Here is a 23,889-nt window from a genome sequence, read left to right on the forward strand (position 1 = left end):
AGTCAAGTAGGCACCTGCTGAGAGAAAGGATAAGCCGAGATGAGGGAGATGATGATGGTTTGGGGCGCAGAAAGCGGGAATGAAAGACAGGAGCTAAAGCCGAAGTTTTTTCTCTCTCGCTACTTAAAAGCTGTAAGATAACGAATTGATCAGCAGGTGGCAGTGTCCGCGGAGGCTCGCATCCCGTCGGCCCTGGCTCTCAAGGCGGAAACACGCACCATGGTGACTTTCCGGCCTGCATCGCCTCTGCTCCCCTATCCCGGCTGACGTTGGACGACAAAGATGGCGGCAGGGACCAGCAGTTACTGGGAAGGTGAGGGCGAGAAGGCCTCCGGGTGCGTCCTACGAGGGTGAGAGGGGCTGAGTGAGGACAGATCTTGGGAGAAGCAGCACAGGAAAGAACCAGACTCCCGGAGCGGCCGAGCTGAGCAGCGGGGCTTGCCTAAGTGGGATCCCCGGGGCCTTGGGGATACCGAACGGTCTGGGGTAGGGGTCTGGCCTGGCCGGGGCGTGTGAGCGGGACGTGGGGCAGGGGTTGGGCAGAGTGGACAGAGCGGGGATGTAGAGGAAGAGGGCTCTCAATCGCCTGGGTAGAATTGTGTTGAGGGAGTAATGGAACTCGGACGAAGGGGCTTGGGGTACGAACTCTGAGAGGAAACGAATGTTGAGGGAGAAGATCCAGAGCCCCGGAGACTGGAGGAGTCAGCGCATTGGAGCTGAGGTCACTATTGGAAAACTGAGTGGGAAAAGAGAAGGAGGAACTTGCATTCCGGTCCGTCGGAGGAAGTATGAAGAGAATAGGAGACAGAATGTCTCTTATTGGGTCTCCATGACAACTACAGGTTGGGGACTTCCAGGACTGGGTGTTTGAAGGAGGAGAAAATAACTTACCCTTCTGCTCTAGAGTCTAGAATCGGTTTTATTGAAAAAGTTGAGAGAACCTGTGTGAATTGCAGTTACATTTGCTATACTTCTCCCACCAAAAAAACCTTCCTGTGATTTGACAAATGCATTTGTTTAATTCCTGAAACTATAGTCGGATAAAGTGAGCTTACATAAAACTCATTCGTGGATTATGATGATCAACAAGAGCAGAGAAAGCTCACCTTTTTCTCCCAACTGTCTCTTTGCTTTACAGCCGCATAGAAACTACTTTCCAAATTCCTTTGACCTGTTTTTATTGCTATACACTGAAGCCTCTAGAAACCACAGTATTGTCACTATCAGCCCCTTGGTCTAAGAAACTCAATTCTAAATTTATCCAGATTTGCCTATCATACTTTCAAAATGCTTTTACTTATGTTTCCTACTAGAGAAGACAATTATTCCAATCACAGAAAAGCGTGCTTATAGTTTAAAACATGTATTACAATGCCCATTTGAAATGTGTGTACCAGCTAGAAAACTTTTTTTTTTTTTTTTTTGGAGACTCGCTATGTCGCCCAGGCTGGAGTGCGGTGGCGCTATCGATCTCGGCTCACTGCAGCCTCCGCCTCCTGCGTTCAAGCGATTCTCCTGTCTCAGCCTCCTTAGTAGCTGGGACTACAGATGCATGCCACCACGCCTGGCTAATTTTTGTATTTTTAGTAGAGACGGGGTTTCACCATGTTGGCCAGGATGTTCTTGATCTCCTGACCTCGTGATCCGCCCGCCTCTGCCTCCCAAAGTGCTGGGATTACAGGTGTGACCCACCGCGCCTGGCCGCTAGAAAACATTTTAAAATTATGTAGAAGAGGCTACTGATATCTTTATTACTAGTCATTAGCCTGTGGTTTTTTGAAGCAGCATGCTATAATATTACAGCGGCTCATTACTGACAACCTACTCTGTGCCAGCTGCTGTAAGCATATGATTACCAATACATAAGCAAACCCTGAAGGTAGGGGTTTAAAAAACAAGAAGCTGAAGTTCATAGGTTAAGTAGATTGTTGATAAATCATAGAGTCAGTAAGTGGCTGTGCCGAGATTCGAACTGGCATTTGGTCTCTGGGCAAATATGCTCCACTATGTTAACTACGCTTTCTATTTCTGGTTGAAAAGCATATTGAAATAATGTTTTGTATTCTTTTTGAAAGAGAGATTCTTATACCATTACCTCTGGTACTTCTGCCCTTTTATTTTAACCTTCACTTCACCATGAATGAGAATACTCGTATCTGTGTGTGGGTGTCCAGACTGTGGCTTCTGTCACGCAACCCTTAGATGCCAGACTGCTAAACCAATTTCTCTACTTGCCTGTTTGCTTCTGCTATTAAAACTTATGTACTTATTTCTATCATACTCATATTCGACCTTGTTAGTAGCACATTGTTTATTGTTAGTTTTAGCCCTCCAAATTACTTTCAGTAAGTTTTTTTCTTTTTTTTAGATGGAGTCTCGCACTGTCGCCCAGGCTGGAGTGCAGTGGCTCAATCTCCACTCACTGCAAACTCTGCCTTCCAGTGCCTTCCAGGTTCACGCCATTCTCCTGCCTCAGCCTCCTGAGTAGCTGGGACTACAGGCGCCCACCACCACGCCTGGCTAATTTTTTGTATTTTTAATAGAGACAGGGTTTCACCGTGTTAGCTAGGATGGTCTTGATCTCCTGACCTCATGATCCGCCTGCCTCGGCCTCCCAAAGTGCTGGGATTACAGGCGTGAGCCACTGCGCCTGGCCTCAGTAAGTTTTTTAAAGGCGGTTTTTGGCCAGGTGCGATGTCTCATGCCTGTAATTCTAGCACTTTTGGAGGCCCAGGCAGGAGGGTCACTGGAGTTTAGGAGTTCGAGAGCAGCCTGGGCAACATTGTGAGAAAAAACAGAAAAGAAAAAAAGAAAGAAAAAGGCAATTTTTGTGGTAACTTTTTTTCTTTATGTTCAATTGAGAAGTCATTTTGGTCCGGGCGTGGTGGCTCACACCTGTAATCCTAGCACTTTGGGAGGCCAAGGTGGGTGGATCACTTGAGGTCAGGAGTTAAAGACCACCCTGGCCAACATGGTGAAACCCCGTCTTTACTAAAAATACAAAAATTAGCCAGGCATGGTGGTGTGTGCCTGTAGTCCCAGCTACTTGGGAGGTAGTTGAGGCATGAGAGTTGCTTGAACCCAGGAGGTGGAGTATGCAGTGAGCCAAGGTCATGCCACTGCACTCCAGCCTGGGTGACAGAACGAGACTCCATCTCAAAAAAAAAAAGAAAAAAAAAGGTAAGTCATTTTGCTATTATGAAAAGAAGTTCATAAGCCTAATAAAGCTTTGGAACATAAAAAGCAAAATCCCTTTCAAAAGAATAATGGCTTCTTTCTTATAACATTAACTGGTAAGTTGATAATGCTGGTCATAAACCATATTTTTAGTTCCTTTGTGATTTGTATTATCTTCTTGTTTTTCTCTGAATTGCAGAATTTTAGTTATTGCTATACAAATAGTTTCAGGAAGGATAGAACAACATTTGTTTTCTAGCCATCTTTGGAGTAAAGCTGCGAAGTTGCATCTACCATTACTATTTCCCTTCTTGCCCCCTCTGAAGTTTATAAGTGACTAATCTGCTTTGCTGGGCAAGTCCTTGGTTTCCTTCTTTTAAGACTTTTATTTTCCTTTTTTTGAGACATAGTTTTGTTCTTGTTACCCAGGCTGGAGTACGATGGCGCAATCTTGGCTCACCGCAACCTCTGCCTCCTGCGTTCAAGCGATTCTCCTGCCTCAGCCTTCCGAGTAGCTGGGATTACAGGCGTGCGCCACCACACCTGGCTAATTTTCTATTTTTAGTAGAGATAGGGTTTCTCCATGTTGATCAGGCTGGTCTCAAACTCCCGACCTCAGGTGATCCGCCCACCTTGGCCTCCCAAAGTGGTGGGATTACAGGCGTGCACCACCGTGCCCAGCCAACACTTTTCTTTATGGGGGTAACAAGATCAGTATATGATCATTTTCATAGTTTGTTTTCTTTAGAATGGTGCTGTGATTTTTGTGTCTACTTTTTATGTCTAATTATTTGTTGTTATAATTTTGTTAAAGATCTCAGGAAACAGGCTCGACAGCTGGAAAATGAACTTGACCTGAAACTAGTTTCCTTCAGCAAACTATGTACAAGTTACAGTCATAGCAGTACCCGAGATGGAAGACGCGACAGGTATAGGTACTACCAGATTCTGTCTCCTATGCCTTAACTGTGTTTTTAAAGCATTAAAAAATAAACTAAAATATATAACTTCTGTAAGTTGGTCTATTGGTGAATTTTTGGTGTTTTGTTTTGCCATTCATTGTTTTATTTTTTAGTGACTTATTAAAATTCTTCTGAATTCTCGAGACTAGCATTTATTTGGAATCCTTAGGCAAAGATTGTTACAGTGTCAGAAGAAACCTGCTAGAACTTCAGAATAAGTTTGTATCAAAAATATAAGTGTCTAATTCAGCCAGTGTAGGGAAAAGGTGGCTGATTTGCCCGTGTGGCATGTATTTCTTGTGTTTTTCAATTGCTAAATGGACCTGTGGATCTACCCAGGTGCCAGGTATACATACTGCTTTTCTGGTGTTTATTGTATTAGAGGGTATCTAATGCACTGTGTATCCTTGTTATTAATTATCAAAGCTATCTTTAATTTTGGTACTTTTTTGGGAAACTAGTGTATTACCATATTAAATGTATGGAAAATACATTCTTATCTTTGAAGCTTATGCTCTCTGTAAGTCATCCACTTGTTTCAAGAAAATATTGGGAGTAGCCAGGCACAGTAGATGACGCGTGTAATCCCGGGACTTTAGGAGGTTGAGGCGGATGGATCACTTGAGCCCAGGAGTTCAAGACTAGCCTGGGCAACATGGTGAAACCCTGTCTCTAAAAAAAATAGAAATAAAAAAAAATTTTTTAATTAGGCAATATTTAAGACAGTTACAAAGAATAATATCATGAACCCCCATGACCCTATCTCCCATTTTTAAAAAATGATAATTACTCATTCCACTGAAGCCCCTTATGGCACCCCACTTTCTCCCACCCCATAATCCACATATATTCTTACTGCATGTTTATATTCCTGAGCAATTCATAGTATTCTATTATGTTATATAGTATATATATAATATAGTTATTCTACAACTTTTTCTTTAACATTTTTGAGATTCAGCTATGGATTCATTTAACTCTGGTATATTCATTTGTAATTCATATGTAGTATTTTATGACTATCACAGTTTAACCATTTGATGATGGCCATTGTTTCTAATTTTTGCTAATTAATAATAATTTTGATAGCTGACATAAGAGTGTTCATTATATGTTAGGTAAGAGCTTTCTATAAATGCTGCTGGGAACATTTTTACGCAGAATGTTTCTATATACCTAGCGGTGAAATTGCTGGTAGCAGAGTTGTTGTTAATCCACACTTATTTTACATACTTTTTCAAAGATTAGAAGTGAGTAGGATATTTGTCAGCTAATAAAAACAATGAAATCTGAGCTTAGATTTGAATCTAGATCTATCTCCAGAGCCCACACTCTAAACCCTACTATAGTGTATACATTTGAACAAAAAGCTGATTTCAACACTATAGCCAAATTACTATTTCTTTTTCATAAGGACTCCTTGGTTGTAAAGGCAGCAAGGCCAACATTGACTCTAGGATCTAAAAATAAATTACTAACACATCAAATAGATTGCATTGCTTTGGGCTTGGCTTTATTTAGCAAGTAAAGAGAATGAAGAATGTTCTTTCTATGCATTTTCTATGTTCTGTGTGCTTCATGAACTAATACTTTTGTTATTCCTCTAAAGGAAAAACTATCTTGAAAACATTTCCCAAGAAATTCTACCACAAACTGAAACTGGCTTTGTAGAATTACTTCAGCCTAACTCCCCTTCTAAATAAAAACCTAAGGCCATGAGGATCAGGATTTGATGTCTATTCTAAAGTGTCTTGTTTGATGCCCAGGTTGGAAGCATGTCACTATGAGTCAACTAAGCAATAACTAGAATATTATTTATTCCAGGCATCTTTCTTTCTTTTTTTTTTTTTTTTTAACTTTCTGTATTTTGAGAACTTCAAGGTCTATGAATCATTACCCACCTATAAGATGAATTAAATTTAACTGAATCCCAGTATTGTGAAGAATTAGTGTTTGGCCATTTCCCTTTACTCTTACACTGTCCTGATGAATATATGAATACAATGAGTATAGAATAACCAGTAGTAGAGATTGCTCTCGTGTTCATTCATTTATTCAGCAGAAGTTTAATGAGCATCTACTATGTGCCAGGCTGTATACTAGGTGCTAGGCATATATCTATGAATAAGACAGAGCAGTTTTTTCCTTCCTTCATGAAGCTTTAATTCTATTGGCATATTGTTCTTTTTCATATATCTGGTAGAGGAGGATTTATATTAGTAGTCTACAGAGCATTTATTTAATACTTTTCATTTGCCACACCCAGGCACTGTCACAGGGTAGCACAAAGTCTTCAGTAAGATTGGAGACTATAGTCATTGCCTGGGCATTTATCTGTGTCCAGTATAACTCTGATCTGTATTGAGCTGCTCATCAGATGCTAATACATACCTAACCTGATGAAGGTTAGTGGTGTTTTGGAAAAGGCAAAAGAAACACTGAGGACAGGTGGGTTTAGAATTTGAATCTGTCAAACCTAAGTTTCACTTGTAAAAAGATAGATTTTTGACTATTCAGATTTGAAAAGGCAATTTAACACAATTCTACAAAACAAAAGGATGATTGCATACTGTAAGTGAAAATGGAGAAGATTAGTACCAAAGCATGCAGGACATGGCTGTATATATTGGATTTAAAGCCAGTTCCTGAGTATTCGTTAGCTAGTTATCCAATCTGTGGATCATTTAAACCTCAATCTTATTTCCTCTTGGTAAGAGTCAAGGAAAGAAGAGAGAATGTAATGTTGAGGTTGAAGGAACCATAATTCCTTTGGGGTAAAAATGTAAAAGATCGTTTCTCACAGACCCTATATAACATAATCCATAATTCATTTTATGGCTCCTATTAATCACCTTATTATTTTAAGTATGTTTTAAAGGACTGATTTGAGTAATGGATCCTCTTTAACTGAACTTCTTTTTAGTTCTGATACAACACCCCTTTTAAATGGATCAAGCCAAGACAGAATGTTTGAGACAATGGCGATTGAGATTGAACAACTTTTGGCAAGGGTAAGTGCTTTCTGTTAAATGGCTATTTTGCAAATAACTGTATACTTGTTACGTAGGATCCTGGATTATATTGAGACAGACATGTTTATTGAAATTATCCATTCCATTCAATATGTGTACCTCCCCACACCACTTGAATTTTGATGACAGCCATTCTCAGGTGATATGATGTTATTTTGGTCTTTATGGATTATGTGGGGGAATGCTGAATTCTTACTTGCTCTCTTGTTTGTTTTTTGTTTTGTTTTGTTTTGTTTTGTTTTGCTGTCAACCAAAAGGGCATATAGGCAAATAATTTGCTTTTAGCTGTTTATAGTGCTTAGTAAAATATTTTGATTGTTTTTTTTTTCTTTATTTCTAGCTTACAGGGGTAAATGATAAAATGGCAGAATATACCAACAGTGCAGGTGTCCCCTCCTTGAATGCAGCCCTGATGCATACATTACAGCGGCATAGAGACATATTGCAGGTAATATATTGGGCTCGAGATGTTTTCATTATCACAGGAGTTTGGGTTTTTTTTTTTTTAATCCCTGCATTGGATATGTGCACATATATTTAAAAGGACAAAGAGAAAAATCTGAGAAAATAAATGCCATGCTAAAGGGACTTGTTTTACTTTTTTTTGGGGTCACCATTATAAAATTCTGAAAATATCTAATAGCTCTTGCTATTTCTTGGCGAAGTTGAGTAATATTCATCACTGGGTACATATACTTCCACTATGGGAGACCTAGCTAGCTAGCTGTAACAGTGAAATAGCCAATGGTCATGTATAGACAATAACGTGGTGGGTAAGCGTGTACTTTCAGCTAGCTTTGAAGATAATATGGAGGGGGAATTATTTACTATACTTAGTATATTGTTTAAGAAAACAGTAAATGTGTATGCACCAATAAAACTAAATAAACTTTTAAAGATTTAAATGGAGGATATGTTAAAAATATGGTAGTACAAATAGGAAGGCAATTTTTTTTTTTTTTTTGAGATAGGGTTTCTCTGTCACTCAGGCTGGAGTGCAGTAGTACAGTCACAGCTCACTGCAGCCTCAACCTCCCAAGCTCAAACAAGCCTCCTACCTCAGCGTCCTGAGCATCTGGGACCACAAGCACATGCCACCACGCCTGGCTAATTTTTTAAAAGCTTTTGCAGAGACAGGTCCTTGCCATGTTTCCCAGGCTGGTCTCTAACTCCTGTGTTCACGAGGTTTTGCTATATTGCCCAGGCTGGTCTCTTAACTCCTGTGTTCACAGGTTTTTGCTATGTTGCCCAGGCTGTTCTCTTAACTCCTGTGTATGGGCAATCCACCCCCTCAGCCTTCCAAAGTGCTAGAATTATAGGCATGAGCCGCTGTACCCAGCCACAAATATTTTTAATATTGAGAAAAGTCAGCAACTATTTCTAATTTTAAAAACTGTTTTTAAAAGTAGGAATAGATGGCCGGGCGCAGTGGCTCGTGCCTGTAATCCCAGCACTTTGGGAGGCCAAGGCAGGTGGATCACCTGAGGTCAGGAGTTGGAGACCAGCCTGGCCAACATGGCGAAACCCTGTCTCTACTAAAAGTATAAAAATAAGCTGGGCATAGTGGTGGGCGCCTGTAATCCCAGCTACTTGTGAGGCTGAGGCAGGAGAAGCTTGAACCCAGGAGGCGGAGGTTGCAGTGAGCTGAGATTGCACCACTGCACTCCAGCCTAGGCTACAAGACTGAGACTCCATCTAAAAAAAAAAAAAAAAAAAAAGTAGGAATAGAAAGATACTTTAATACAAAAATGTATTATCGGGTTAAAAGCTAGCATTGTGTTTAAAGAGAAAGCAATAAAAACATTCCCATTGTATGAAACAAGACAAGGATACCCATGATCGCTACAAATGTATAACGTTGTTTTTTAAGTTCTTGATGGTGCAATTAGACAGTAAAAAGAAATGAAATGTATGCTGGGCATGGTGGCTCACACCTCTTATCCAAGCACTTTGGAGGTCTGAGGTGGGCGGATCATTTGAGGTCAGGAGTTGGAGACCAGCCTGGCCAGCAGGGTGAAACCCCTTCTCTACTAAAAATACAAAAATTAGCGGGGCGTGGTGGTGGGTGCCTGTTATCCCAGCTACTTGGGAGGCTGAGGCAGGAGAATAGCTTGAACATTGAACCTGGGAGGTGGAGGTTGCAGTGAGCCGAGATTGCACCACTGCACTCCAGCCTGGGCAACAGAGTGACTGTTTCAAAAAAAAAAAAAAAGATGTAAATATTGGAAAGGAAGAGGCAAAATTTCTGTGAGGTAGCAGGATAAAATTATATGTCTAGTACACGCAAGAAAATTACCTGATAAAAAGTTAGAAACAATTAAATTCAGTAAGATGGTAGATCACAAAATGAATACATAAAAGCAAATAGTTTTCCTATTATGATAGGAAATAAATGATAACCTGTTAGAAAATACAATGGAAGAAACTATAAAGCATTTATATATGAATTAAATAAGAAATGTGTAGGACTTGTATGTGCAGAATTCTACTGAGGGACATAGAACAAGATTTAAGTAAAGGAAAGAATCATTCTGTTTTTGGATAGGAAGACTTTCGTCTAAATTGCATGACATCCCAGTGGAAACAGCAGGGTTGTATCGTTGTTTGTTTAATTAAAAACAAATGACATAATGACACCAAAGTTCATTTGGAATCATAGACATACAAGAACAACCAAGAAAAACAACCTGAAAATGAAGATAAGTGGTAGAGGGTTCCTAGTTCTACCAGATCTTAAAACCTGTTAAAAAGCTGGAATAGTTAAGACAGTTTGATACTAGAGAAAAAAAATAAATAAATAAAAACAATTAAACAGAGTTTATATGTAGACCCAATTATGTTTGGAAATTTTTAGTTTCTGATAAAGATGTTGTTTAAAATCAGTGGGGCAAAGAGAAATTATAAAATAAATGGAACTATAACCATTGCTTAATTATTCAGAGATTTTAAAAAAACAATTCTATCTCAATCCTCACATCCAGAACAAATTCCAAATGGATCCAAGAAGGATAGAAAAAGAAACCATAAAGCAGAGGTGAAATTTGTAAACTTTGGAGCAGAAAGGACTTTCTAAATAAGACTTGATACTGGAAACCATAACGAATGGCTAATTTGCTTACTACACAGAGATATAATAGAAATAAGAAAAAGACAGTAGGAAAATGGACAAAGGATATAAAATTGCTTACAAAAAAATGAATGGCCAAAACTATAAAAACATTTTCAGCAGTATTTCCAAATAAAAATACAGAAATCTAAAAGAGGTGATTTTTCACATGTCAGATTAGCAAATGTTGAAACATTTATAACCCATTATTGGCAAGAGTAAAAATTTAAAAAGGGTACTCATATATTGCTGGTGGGAACATAAATTGATGTAATGTTTATAGAAGGCAGTTTAGCACTACCAGAATTTAAATGAATGTGAGATTCTTTGATCCAGTTATTCTTTTTTTTTTTTCTTGAGACGGAGTCTCGCTCTGTTGTCCAGGCTGGAGTATTGGAGTGCAATGGTGCGATCTCGGCTCACTGCAGCCTCCACGTCCTGGGTTCAAGCGATTCTTCTGCCTCGGCCTCCCGAGTAGCAGGAACTACAGGTGTGCGCCACCACGCCCAGCTAATTTTTGTATTTTTAGTAGAGATGGGGTTTCATCATATTGATCAAGCTGGTCTTGAACTCCTGATGTCATGATCCACCCACCTCGGCCTCCCAAAGTGCTGGGATTACAGGCATGAGCCACCGTACCCAGCCCTGATCCAATTATTCTATTGCTAGTCATTTACTCCTTTTTTTTTTTTTTAAGCTCTGTTGAACTTAATAGACATTTACTCTTTAAATATACTTTTTTTTTTTTTTTTTTGAGACAGAGTCTCACTCTGTCACCCAGGCTGGAGTGCAGTGGCGCGGTCTTGGCTCACTGCAACCTCTGCCTCCCGGGTTCACACCATTCTCCTGCCTCAGCCTCCCGAGTAGCTGGGACTCCAGGCGCTCGCCACCATGCCCGGCTATTTTTTTGTATTTTTAGTAGAGATGGGGTTTCACCGTGTTAGCCAGGATGGTCTCCATCTCCTGACCTCATGATCCGCCTGCCTTGGCCTCCCAAAGTGTTGGGATTACAGGCGTGAGCCACTGCGCCCAGCCTAAATATAGTTTTTTTTAAAATAAAAGAGTTCAGTTTAAAAAATATATGTAAGAATGTTTATTGGCAGTATTTTTTTTTTTTTTTTTTGAAACAGAGTCTCGCTCTGTTGCCTAGGCTGGAGTGCTGTGGTATGATCTCAACTCACTGTAACCTCTGCCTCCCAAGTTCAAGTGATTCTCCTGCCTCAAACTCCTGAGCAAAGTAGCTGGGACTACAGGTGCGTTCCACCACACCGGCTAAGTTTTGTGTTTTTAGTAGAGACGGGGTTTCGCCATGTTGGCCAAGCTGGTCTCGAACTCCTGACCTCTAGTGATCCGCCCACCTCAGCCTCCCAAAGTGCTGGGATTACAGGCATGAGCCACCCTGCCTAGTCTTGCAGTATTTTTAATAGCAAACAAAATGAAAACAACTAATGTGTTTATCAGTAGGGAATTTATTAAATTGTGATAGTCATAAGATAATATTCTATGCAGCTATTAAAAAGAATGATGTAGATTTCTTTTTCCTAATATGGAAAGATTGCTTGATACTTTATGAAGTACAAAAAGCAAGGTGTACATCAGAATGTATATTATGACTTACTTGGCAAAGTGAAAGAAATAATAGATAAGCTTGTATATGTAAAAACATATTTCCTGGCCAGGTGCAGTGGCTCACGCCTGTAATCCCAGCATTTTGGGAGGCCAGTGTGGGTGGAACTGTTGAGGTCAGGAGTTCAAGACCAGCCTGGCCAACATGGTGAAACTCCATCTCTATTAAAAATACAAAAATTAGCTGGATGTAGTGGCACGCTCCTATAGTCCCAGTACTAGGGAGGCCAAGGCACTAGAATCGCTTGAACCCAGGAAGTGGTGTTTGCAGTGAGCTGAGATGGCACCACTATACTCCAGCCTGAGCGACAGAGCAAGACTCTTGTCTCCAAAAAAAAAGAAAATAATAATTTCCTGGAAGAAAATACAAAATGATGGTAACAGTTATGAGGTATGGAGCAGAATGTTTTGTTTTCCTTTGTTTCACCTTTATTTCTTTTGGTGCTCTTTTAATATTCTCCTCCATGTTTATGTGTTACTTTTGTTTTTTAAAAGGTCAACAGGGACTCTGGGAGACAAGATTTTGATTTTCTTCTTTATCTACATCTCTGAATTTATGAAAAGTAATGAAGTACTTTTAACAGTGGTACAAAAATAGTAGAAAATGTTTAAAGATTATTTTGTTCCTTATAATTCTCTTGATTCTGTTCTTTTTTGTTTAGGAATTAAATTTTTTGTGAGAGCTCCAAAATGATGAAATTTGAAAATAAGCTCTATTAAGTATACTACTAAGTAAAAAGAGCCTCTCAAGTTTTCTCCTAGACTATTTGAAGTTATTTTATCTCAGAATTTTTTTCTTCTTAATTCTGCCTCGTAAGACAGAGTACTAGGAGGTACAAAGGATAGTGATTTAATGGCACTGTTTCCCTAGCACTGAATTATTTTCACTTGAAAGAAGTTGGTCACTCTTCAGGAAAGTAATTTTAAAGTTATTTTTACCTTTGGTTAATTTGATTTCTTAAATAGCAGTTTTCTTGACAAATTTACAGTGTGATGACGATACATAACTGGTTCAGTGAGATGAAAATCCATAATTAGCTTCTGTTGAGACTGGATGTTGATTTATTACAGGATTATACACATGAATTCCATAAAACCAAAGCAAACTTTATGGCAATACGGGAAAGGGAGAATCTTATGGGATCAGTACGAAAAGATATTGAGTAAGTTACTTTTTATATTATTTTGTAGAATATTTATTCAGATTTGGCTTTAGGATATGTTCACGGTTAATTGCAAATTGAGTGGCAGAACCGTGGTTGAGATTTTAGGGTTTCCAATTCCCATTTCACTGTCTTTTTAACATTGCTGCTACAATGTCATCCTAATCTACTTTTCCATTTTTATCTCATGCTTCCTCTTACTTTATCATTGGCTCCTGCCAACCTTGACTTTCCTGTCTTAATTCAAAGTCCAGCTTAGGTGGTTCTTCATGGTTCTCTGATCTCTTACCTCCCACCCTAAGAATTATAATGTTACTTTTATGATCCTCTGCAGATGTGTCAAAGAAAAAAAAATTCTTTAATTGTAACATTATCAGTAACTGAAGCTCCCTATGTTTCTCTTCCTGATTATCACCTATCCCCTGGCCCTCTCCCTTGTCCCAACAGTTACATATTACAAACAGTAATATGTACAAACTCACTCATAGCCTTATGTTAAATTATTTAAGGACTCCCAACATTCTCATACTGATCTCAATCTATAATTTTAAATATTTGTTTTTTTCTTCTGTCCCTTCACCTCACCTTTAATGATCTATTCTAGCATTTCATAGCATTTTTGGAAATTTTTTTACAACTGAACACTACTGACAAAGTTAAGTCCCATGGGCGTCTCATTGAAGCTGAAGATGTTCCAATTTGGAGCCATCTAATGATACCTGTCATCATCTCATTTGTGATAAATTATGTGATACATTTTATAAACTATGATACACATTTATGGTAAACTGTATATTATGTGTACTCTCGAAAACACTTTCCTAGAGATCCTTTATTTTATTGTAACAGTAACAGTTTCAACAGTAAGATTGTTGTAATATTTTTAGTCCTTCAGGACATTTAAGTCTTTTGTTTAATTTCCATGTAGTCCATTTATATATATGTTTTGAGGAATGCATTGGGAACCCATATAGGGGATGGTCTTTAATGTATAGACACTGAGCCCCCCCATAATTTGTGGGAATCACTAGAATGCAACCCATTGTAATAACTTGCTTTTTGAAAAATGGCCATAAAAGATATGTTCATCTATTCATTAAACTGTCTCCTGAGTATCAACTCTGAGTTAGTCACAGCAGAAGGTAGAAATGAAAAGACCGGCCAGGCGTGGTGGCTCCCGCCTGTAATCCCAGCACTTTGGGAGGCTGAGGCAGGTGGATCACTTGGGGCCAGGAGTTCAAGACCAGCCTGGCCAACATGGTGAAACCCCGTCTCTACTAAAAATAAAAAAATTAGCTGGGCGTAGTTGTAGGCATCTGTAATCCCAGCCACTCGGGAGGCTGAGGCAGGAGAATTGGTTTAACCTGGGATGTGGAGGTTGCAGTGAGCTGTGATCGTGCCACTGCACTCTAGCCTGGGTGACAGAGCAAGACTCTGTCTAAAAAAAAAAAGAAAGGAAAAGACCAATGTGGTCCTGTAGGAGTTTAGAATCTAGGTGCTAGAGGAAAGTATATGTAGTAGTTTACACAGTATTTTTTAATGTATTATATTTTTTTGGCCTCATAGCAATCTTTTGGTTAAGATAGAAATGATCAGTCTCATTTTACAAAACTAGGTATTGAGACACTTGTCTGAGGTGAAGTGGCTATGAAATGATTCAGTATAGATTTAAATCCAAGTCATCAGTCTCCTGAGTCCAATGTGTTCTTGGTTATATTATTCTGCTTTCCTTGGTGGTGGTTTCTCCTGTAGCACTGCCTTTCAGCCAGTATTTCAGTTTTAACAGCATGTTGGCTGCAGTGAGCCAACATTGTGCCACTGCATGCCAGTCTGGGTAACAAAGTAAGACTCTGTCTCCAAAAAAAAAAAATTGTTCCTGATACTTTATTATTAGTGGAAAACAGAAAAATTAAATTTTTGATAGTAGTGATAAGAGTAATTTTTTTGTCAACTTCAATACACTGAAGACCAAAATGGTTATCCTTAAGTGTGCCAAAATGAGCAAATCTTTAGCTTGATTTCAGTGTTCCTTAGGCTTCAGTTGGTGGACCACATATATTATTGTGAAAGAAAACATTTCATTTCAACAGCTTTCCCACCCTGTGTGCTGTGTACTAAATCAGTCCTAAGTTTTACTTCTACTTGGAGAAAAATGAAGATATCAGAGATAGGAGGTAAAGGAAAAGTAAGATTGTTTTGGTTGTTTGTTTCAGAATGTTGAGTTATTTTGGTGAAAAACAGTAAACTGTTGGGCCTAAATTAGAGATGCAGAGGCATTAATATTTATCTACCTAAAATAGATAACATTTTTCAGAGGGAAATGCAAAGGATTATGTACTTTCATTGTTCATTCAAAACTCTGGAGAGGCTCAATTTTTCTACTTTCAAGATCACTAGGGTCAGTCAATCTGATTTTGTATTCTCTGCCAAAAATGTTTTTAAATTTTCTCTTTTGTCCCAGGTCATATAAAAGTGGGTCTGGAGTAAACAACAGAAGAACTGAGCTATTTTTGAAAGAACATGACCACCTTCGAAAGTAGGTATTGAATGTATGTGCATTATGTGGTTTTCCACGTTTATTAATTCATTTACTTATGTAACCAACATTTTATGATGTTTATTATACTGAGTGCCTTGTCCATGCTAATTCATTTTATTCTCCTAATGACTCTTTTCAATAGAAAAGGAATTGCAACTGTTCCAACCATAATTAGGAAAGATCCTATGCTGTTGAATATTTCACATCACTTAATTGTTACCTTAATATGGTTGTTATTTTTTTTTTTTTTTCTCTGAGATGGAGTCTCGCTCCGTCACCCAGGCTGGAGTGCAGTGACTCAATCTCAGCTCACTGCAGCCGCTTGCCTCCCGGGTTCAAGCGATTCTCCTGCCTCAGCCTCCCAAGTAGCTGGGACTACAGGCGTGTGCCACCATGCCTGGCTAATTTTTTTGTATTTTTGGTAAAGATGGAGTTTCGCCATGTAGCCAGGATGGTCTCCATCTCCTGACCTCGTGATCCACCCACCTTGGCCTCCCAAATTGCTGGGATTACAGGCGTGAGCCACCACCGCACCCGGCCAGTGCATGTGCTAATTCTCTACAGAGAGAGACTGAGACAGGATGAAACTGAATGGAATAAGAGCTCCTGATGAATTAGATGAGTCGTAGAGACTGAAAAGATGGGCTTCGTCATTGCCCTCAGTATGATAACACAAGCTTCTAAATACTTCTCTTAAATCAATTTTTTTTTGTAATTACAAATACTTGCTAGGTAATAAAATAACATTAAAATTATCAGTAAAATATGTTTACAAAATAATGTGAAAAACTTTAGTTTTTCAGTGTTTTTGTATTTCATTTGCCAAGTGCTTTGAGGAAGAAGTGGCAAGATTTTTTTGAAATAACTTTAAATAACAAAAGCTAAATGCCTTTCATAGTGCTCATTTTAGAAAGTATGGATAGTTCAACAACACAAAAAGAAAATTGAAATGACACATTACTACAAATTCTGTAATATTTTTTACTCTTCAGTAGATTGCAAGCTTTTTCCCATATAATTTGATTTTTTGTTTTTTTAAAATAAATGGTGCATATATTCCATAATAAAGATAAACCATAAATTATGTAACCATTTCCCTAATGTTGGCCTTTTGGGTTATGTTCTGTTTTTACTATTATACACAGTAAAGCCTTTGTGTGTATCCGTCATGATTTCCTCATTCTAAATTCCTAAATCAGAATTGCAGGATTAAAGAACACACTCATTTGCAAAGTTTTTCTATAATATTGGCAAATTTCCAAGTTTGATATTTTGCAGTAGGGTCGGACCTTTTATGGCTAGAACTATGTTTAAGCTTTTGCTTCTTCATAAATATTGTTTTTTAATGTTAATGTAATTTTTTACTTGCTCCAAAAGCACATATTTTTGCCTGGAAAAAGAGTAAATCAGTTTTTGTAAATGAATGCCATACTTAAACACACACACACACACACACACAACTTTGTAATGAATTGTTTTTACCAGCTCTCCTTAATACTCTTTTTATATAAAAATAAATGCTGTTAGGTTTTAGCAATTTATGTTATGGATGACAAATTTCTTTTGCTATATGGTGGATAAAGTAACTTTCGTTTTTGGCTTCTCTTTCCCTGAGTCTGTCAGTCAGAAGAAAATACTGACTTTGAATTAGTGTCAAGCTTGTAACTACTTGTTTTTTGCTGGACTGTTGATACATTCTCATAGGGTTTTTAGTTGCTATTTAGATAATTTCTCTTTCTTTATGTAATTGTTCTTTTTCACTACTCCCTGATATTTTTCTTCTTGAAAAAGTATCTAGTTAATTTTGTATAGTTCTTCTCCCCACCCCAAGAATTTCTGCCTTTATAATCTTTTCTTTCTTTTTTCTTTAAGACAGAGTCTCACTCTGTTGCCCAGGCTGGAGTGTCGCGGTGTGATCTCAGCTCACTGTGCCCTCTGCCTCCTGGGTTCCAGCGGTTCTCCTGCCTCAGCCTCCTAGGTAGCTGGGACTACAGGCACCTGCCACTACACCCAGCTAACTTTTGTATTTTTAGTAGAGATGGGGTTTCACTCTGTTGGCCAGGCTGGTCTTGAACTCCTAACTTCAAGAGATCCACCCACCTCAGCCTCTGAAAGTGCTGGGATTACAGGCGTGAGGCAATGTGCCCAGACTTTTTTTTTTTTTTGACTTGAGGGTCTCACTCTGTCACCCATTGTTTCTCTCTTTGTATTTATTTTATACAAGATATATGGCTTTTTCTGGCCAACATGGTGAAAACCCATCTCTACTAAAAATACAAAAATTAGCCGGGTATGGTGGTGGGCACCTGTAATCCCAACTACTTGGGAGGCTGAGGCAGGAGAATTGCTTGAACCCGGGAGGCGGAGGTTGCAGTGAGCCAAGATCACGCTACTGCACTTCAGCCTGTGTGACAGAGCGAGACTCCGGCTCAAAAAAAAAAAAAAAAAAAAGACATGGCTGATTATATTCTTGCTGTCTTTATAGATGGAGAATTAAGGAGTAGAGACAGACAGACTATATTACCTCAAACATTGAAATGCCATAATTTATCCAGAATCATACATTCATTACTTGACCAGGCATATGATGCTTTTTCTCTAGAAGCATTTTGTCATTTTGAATAAAATACGTCTTCTGTATTTACCTTAATGAAGTTGACAACTTTCAGAGGTTTTCAGTGGTGAAGATAAACTTGAATAAGGAGATAACTTACACAAGCAGAAAAAGCCTCATCTCTTCTGGATTCCTTTAATGCCAGTGGTCATCACCAGGTGTAGATCAGTCACCTTTTACCCAGGCTGGGACCACCACCTTCTCATCTACAGGTGTGTCACCTTAGCAATCTTCTGCATCTCACTGTCAGCCAACACATTTTCTCCTTCCAAGCCTCTGCAGTCTCATGAGTTTGTCTGTATTTTTCTTCTTATAACCTACCTTGCTACCTTAGCCAGCCTGGATCTCATAGGAGATTAACTGAAATACTCCCAACATTGGGCCTTTCCTGTGCCCCTGTCTTCCTGCTGTACCCTGGCAAAATGCCAGCCCAATCCAGTCTGTTGTTCTACTTCTGTATGAGAGGGCTAAAGAAAAAGCAACTAGTCATACAGATTAACTCTGTTTTAAATTAACTATTAAATATTTTCAACCTCATCTGAGTACTCTGCCTTGCCTGATGCCTTTTGCTTGCCTAGCCCTGTTTAGTTCTCATTCTCTTCAAGAACTTTACCAAATCTTCTCCTTCCCCCTCTTGACCTTCCTGTCTCTTCACCTGATACAGAGGTTCTTAGCTTCCACTTCATTGAGATTTTTAAGGTTTTGATCTTTTCTATAAATTGACCTATAGGAGTATCCCTCTTTACCCCTTTCCTATAGTTGTTAAGGGATGGAATATTTGTCCTGAGAAGGCCAATACGTGCATTGGACACTTGTCTCTATCCCCATTTGCTGTGTAAGTATTTGACTCTTCAGCCATCCGGTACACTGTCTCTGGTTTACACCTGCTGTCTCTGTGTCAGCACTCATTCCCGCTTTAGCCCATTGACTTCTTCCCTCACAACACTACTGAACTTGCTGTCAATAGGCACATCAGTGATCTCCTGCATGCCAAGTCTCATGGACATTTTTCTTCATGTTGTTTGGCTGCTGCTCTGCCTGACTTGATATCATAGTCTCCTTTCCTTGAAACCCTAGGCTACTGTGGCACTACACTTTACTGATTCTCCACATACCTTTCTTACTTCTCTTTTGTTTTTTTCCTGAGTCCCTCCAGATGTGGCCTAGGAATCCTTTTAAACACAGTGTTCCAGGCAGAAATTAGTTGGAGTTAGTTCACAAGATGCAATTTATTTGCCATCCACCCTTGCATTTCAGCTCCATTATTTGTCCTTGACATGCTTGTCTATAAAAACACTTTCTCCTTCCCAGAGATGGCAGCTAACAATACCTAGCAAAGAGAAATGGGAATTTCATTCACAATGTCATAGGGAAAGCAATTGGTAAAATTATTTTACTGCCAAGGATAATAAGATTAGAGAGTTGAAGAAAGAGGCATGAATTCTGAAATTGTATAGAACCATCTAAAAGGTAAAGCTGAGGAGTTTTATCCATACTTAACAGGCTGTGACTGTTTTCATAGAAGTACTCTCTGATTTATGGGCATGTCATTGATTACAACTAGAATTGCAGATTGTGCACATTAAACACATCAGCTTAAAAATCCTTGACATTTTAAAAATACCTTTGGCAGAGTTTTAGAGTAGTCATGATATTTAAAATATTATCCTAATTTGTTGGTTTCCTAGAGTATATTTTCATTTAATCATATGTATGATAAGAACATACAGACTTCTTGCTGGGGGCATTGGCTCATGCCTGTAAAGCCTGTAATCTCCGCTACTCAGGAGGCTGAGTTGGGAGGATTGCTTGAGGCCAAGACTTTGAGATTGGTCTGGGCAACATAGCAAGACTCTGTCTCTGAAATAATAATAATAATAAAAATACTAAGTATATTTCTTGGTTTCTAGGGTTAATTTTTTTTCATCTTCCTCTCATTAATTTACCACTTTTATCTGACTAAGATACCTTAAGTTTCTTTATTCCTTGGATTGGTAGTATAGTGAAATGATTAGGGCAGGGCTTTGAAGCCAGAGAGTCCTGGGTTCAAATCCTGGTGTGGACTCTATCTTTTTGGGGTAAGAACCTTTAAATTCTCTGACTTTCCAGTGTCTTTTAAATGGGTGAAATAACCCTTACTTTATGGAATGTTGCAAAGATGAGAGAGGATGTATGTAAAATGTTAACCTATTACAGAGCTTGATATGGAGTAGACGAATTCTAAAATTACATTGAGCCATTTTGCCTATAGTGGTGTTAGAATAGAAAAGTATACTCATACATTAGAATTGTGCACCTAGAGCTAAGTGATTCCAGCCCTGTGGAACCCGTCAATGCCAGAATGGCATGTAGGACTAGATAGATGAATGTCACCTGACCCTGATTGTCTATTAAAACTCAATGTATGGCCAGATGCAGTGGCTCACGCCTGTAATTCCCGCGCTTTAGGAGGCCGAGGCAGGAGGATCACTTGAAGTCAGGAGTTCAAGACCACCTGGCCAACATGGTGAAACCCCATCTCTACCAAAAATACAAAAATAAGCCAGGTGTGGTGGCAGGCGCCTATAATCCCAGCTACACAGGAGGCTGAGGCAGGAGAATTGCTTGAACCTGGCAGGCAGAAGTTGCAGTGAGCTGAGATCGCGTTACTCCATGCCAGCATGGGTGACAGAGCAATACTCCATCTCCAAAAAAAAAAAAAAAATCAATTTATTTTTAAATTACTCTTATTAGTCATTAGTCTTATTATATATCAGTATAATGAACATTTTATTTATTCAAATCCTTTTTTTTTTTAGATGGAGATAATAAAATTTCAGTTGCATTCCACCTGTTTCTTCATGTGCATATCCGGATGCACATATAATTTGTTGGTACCAGTTTTGGTTGTTTTAACGAGCATTTGTTGAGCATCTATGATGTGGAAAGTATTGTGCTGGGTGCTGGAGATAGAGAAGTTGAGTAAAGCATAGTGGCATCATCCCTGTCCTCAGTGAGCTCAGCCAGGTGGGGTGGGGAGCAGAAAAGAAATGTGAATCGGTAGTTCCAGTGCAAAGTAATAAGTGCTTTATTATGATATGCAAAGGTTTGTGCGTACCCTAGAGGAGCACATGAAAGGGAGTCATTACTCTGCTGAAGCTTCTGAAAGGGCTTTAGAGAAGTCGAACATCTGATCTGGTTCTTGAGGAATGAGTAGGTGTTCTCCAAGTAGAGATAGAAAAAGATTGAAAAGTTGAAACTCAGACCTCATGACCATGCCTTTGTCTTCTCTTCTTAAATCCGTATCATTCCTCATACATTATTAAATGGATCTATTTTGAAACGTCACGCATTTACTCATAGTCCAAACCCTCTCCCAGGTTATAGGTCTCACTCTGGCACCTGAAGAGGACACACTGGGCAAAAGAAAGTGAGCAGTGGGGGGGCTCTGAGTGTCACCGGGGTCAGCCGAGGCTGCCATTCTTTTTCCTCATAAATCAGATTTACTGAGGTAGAATTTACTTACAGTAAAAATGTATCCATTTTAAGTTTACAGTTTGGTACGTTTTAACAAATATATAGACTCTTTTAACCGCCACCACAGTAAGACAGAGAACATTTCTATCACCCCAAAAAAGTTCCTTATGCCCCTTTTGAGTCAGTCCCCGTCCCTCAGTCCCGGGCAGCTGCTTACTGGCTTTCTATCACTATAGATTAGTTTTACCTTTTCCAGAATTTTATACAAATGAATTCATACAGTCTGCACTTATTTCACCTAGCATAGTGTTTCTAAGACTTATTCTTTTTCTTAAATGTCAGTAATTGATTTCTTTCAATAGCGGAATAACTTCCATTGTATGATATACCACGATTTCTTTATCCATTCAACCATTGTTGCACAGTTGGGTTATTTTCAGTTTTTGGCTATTAAAAACAAAATTATTATGAACATTCATAAACAAAACTTTGTGTGGTCACATGTTCTCATTCCTCTTTTTTTTTTTTTTTTTGAGACGGAGTCTCATTCTGTTACCCAGGCTGGAGTGCAGTGGCGCAATCTTGGCTCACTGCAACCTCCACCTCCTGGGTTCATGACATTCTCCTGCCTCAGCCTCCCAAGTAGCTGGAACTACAGGCGCATGCCACCACGCCCAGCTAATTTTTTGTATTTTTAGTAGAGACGGGGTTTCACGGTGTTAGCCAGGATGGTCTTGATCTCCTGACCTCGTGATCCACCCGCCTTGGCCTCCCAAAGTGCTGGGATTACAGGCGTGAGCCACTGTACCCTGCCGTTCTCATTTCTCTTGAGTAAATACTTGGAGTTGTATTGTTGAGTTGTATGGTAAGGATGTGTTCCAATTTATAAGAAAGTGTCAAACTTTTCCAAAGTGGTTATACCATTTTTGCATTCCTGTCAGTGGTGTGTGGGAGTTCAAATTGCTTTAAGCCCTTGCCAACACGCCTTTCTATTGTAACCATTTTAGTAGAAGTGTAATGGTTTTTATTGTGGTTTTGATTTGTATTTCTCTAAGGACTGGTGATGTTAAGCCTTCCTTCAAGTGCTTATTAACCATTCACGTATCTTCTTTTTTATTATTCACAACTCACAGGTTATTGTGACATTTGTATATCTTCTTTAGTAAGGGGGTCTGTTCAAGTCTTTTTGCCTTTTGTTGTGGGCTTTTTTCTATTGTGTTATAAGGGTTCTTTGTGTACTCTGGATGTAAGTCCTTTGTCAGATAAAGGTTTTGCAAGTATTTTCTCTGAGCCTGTGACTTCCTTTTCTTTTCATCTGGTGACTTTCAAAAGAGCCGAGGTTTTTAATTTTGATGAAATCTGGTTGATCAGTTTTTTCTTTCTGATTCATGTATTTTGGTCCTATTTAAGAAATCTTGGCTATCCTAAGGTTACAGATTTTTTTCTTTTGTTTTCTTTCAGGAGTTTTAGTTTTAGCTTTTTTGTTTGTTTGTTTGTTTTTAAACCTGCAGCCAACATCATACAGTTTTAGCTTTAACATTAGGTTTATAATCCACTTTGGCTTCACTTTTGTGTGTGGTGTAAGTTAAGGGTCAGGATTCATTTTTTTTTAAACACATGTATATTCCATTGTTTCAGTACCATTTGTTGAAAAGACTCTTTTCCTCTGTTTAATCTTTTCAAAGATGTTGACATCTTTCTAGAGAATTAATTGGACACTTGCTAGTTTATTTCTGAACTTTGTTCTGTTCTGTTGACCTACAGATCCATCCTTAGGCTAGTTGTACTCTGGTTACTGTAGCTTCATAATAAGTTTTGAAATGAGGTAGTGTATAAGTCTCCTAACTTTATCATGTATCTTCAAAGTTATTTTGACTCCTCTGGGTCCTATGCACTTCCATATAAATTTTAATATCACATTGTTTAAAAGCCTGCTGAAATTTCAAATAAGATTATATTGAATCTAGAGATCCATTTGGAGAGAATTGACATCTTAACAACTGTAAATCTTCCAATCCAGGAACAAGGTCTTATATGAAAATATACAAAGAACTCTTTTTTTTTTTTTTTTTGAGACGGAGTCTCGCTCTGTCGCCCAGGCTGGAGTGCAGTGGCGGGATCTCGGCTCACTGCAAGCTCCGCCTCCCGGGTTCACGCCATTCTCCTGCCTCAGCCTCCCAAGTAGCTGGGACTACAGGCGCCTGCCACGACGCC

General features: G+C 38.9%; 1 protein-coding gene across 12 annotated transcripts in view, besides 2 other annotated features; it reads left to right on the plus strand.

The window, feature by feature from the left end:
• Positions 1–150: an enhancer, noted in NCBI's record as "active region_11998". NCBI's record gives its function as "activates an Ori minimal core promoter by ATAC-STARR-seq in GM12878 lymphoblastoid cells {active_cell/tissue: GM12878}" and the evidence as "EXISTENCE:reporter gene assay evidence [ECO:0000049][PMID:35858748]".
• Positions 257–23,889, plus strand: part of GOSR1 (golgi SNAP receptor complex member 1) — a 50,185-nt gene continuing 26,552 nt past the window's right edge. For 2 of the 12 annotated variants that reach the window (XM_005258070.6, XM_017025374.3), the window contains exons 1-6: positions 257–842; positions 3,992–4,112; positions 7,063–7,150; positions 7,512–7,619; positions 12,975–13,066; positions 15,528–15,602. In XM_005258070.6, coding sequence (XP_005258127.1) covers positions 662–842; positions 3,992–4,112; positions 7,063–7,150; positions 7,512–7,619; positions 12,975–13,066; positions 15,528–15,602 — 665 coding nt within the window. In that variant the 5' untranslated portion in view covers positions 257–661. The remainder of the gene's footprint in view (positions 843–3,991; positions 4,113–7,062; positions 7,151–7,511; positions 7,620–12,974; positions 13,067–15,527; positions 15,603–23,889) is intronic. The other 10 variants (XM_005258071.6, XM_047437109.1, NM_004871.3 and 7 more) reach the window with 7 other exon arrangements.
• Positions 301–520: an enhancer, noted in NCBI's record as "active region_11999". NCBI's record gives its function as "activates an Ori minimal core promoter by ATAC-STARR-seq in GM12878 lymphoblastoid cells {active_cell/tissue: GM12878}" and the evidence as "EXISTENCE:reporter gene assay evidence [ECO:0000049][PMID:35858748]".

The sequence above is a fragment of the Homo sapiens genome, chromosome 17, assembly GCF_000001405.40.
Source record: "Homo sapiens chromosome 17, GRCh38.p14 Primary Assembly".
In the NCBI taxonomy this organism is placed as follows: Eukaryota; Metazoa; Chordata; class Mammalia; order Primates; family Hominidae; genus Homo; species Homo sapiens.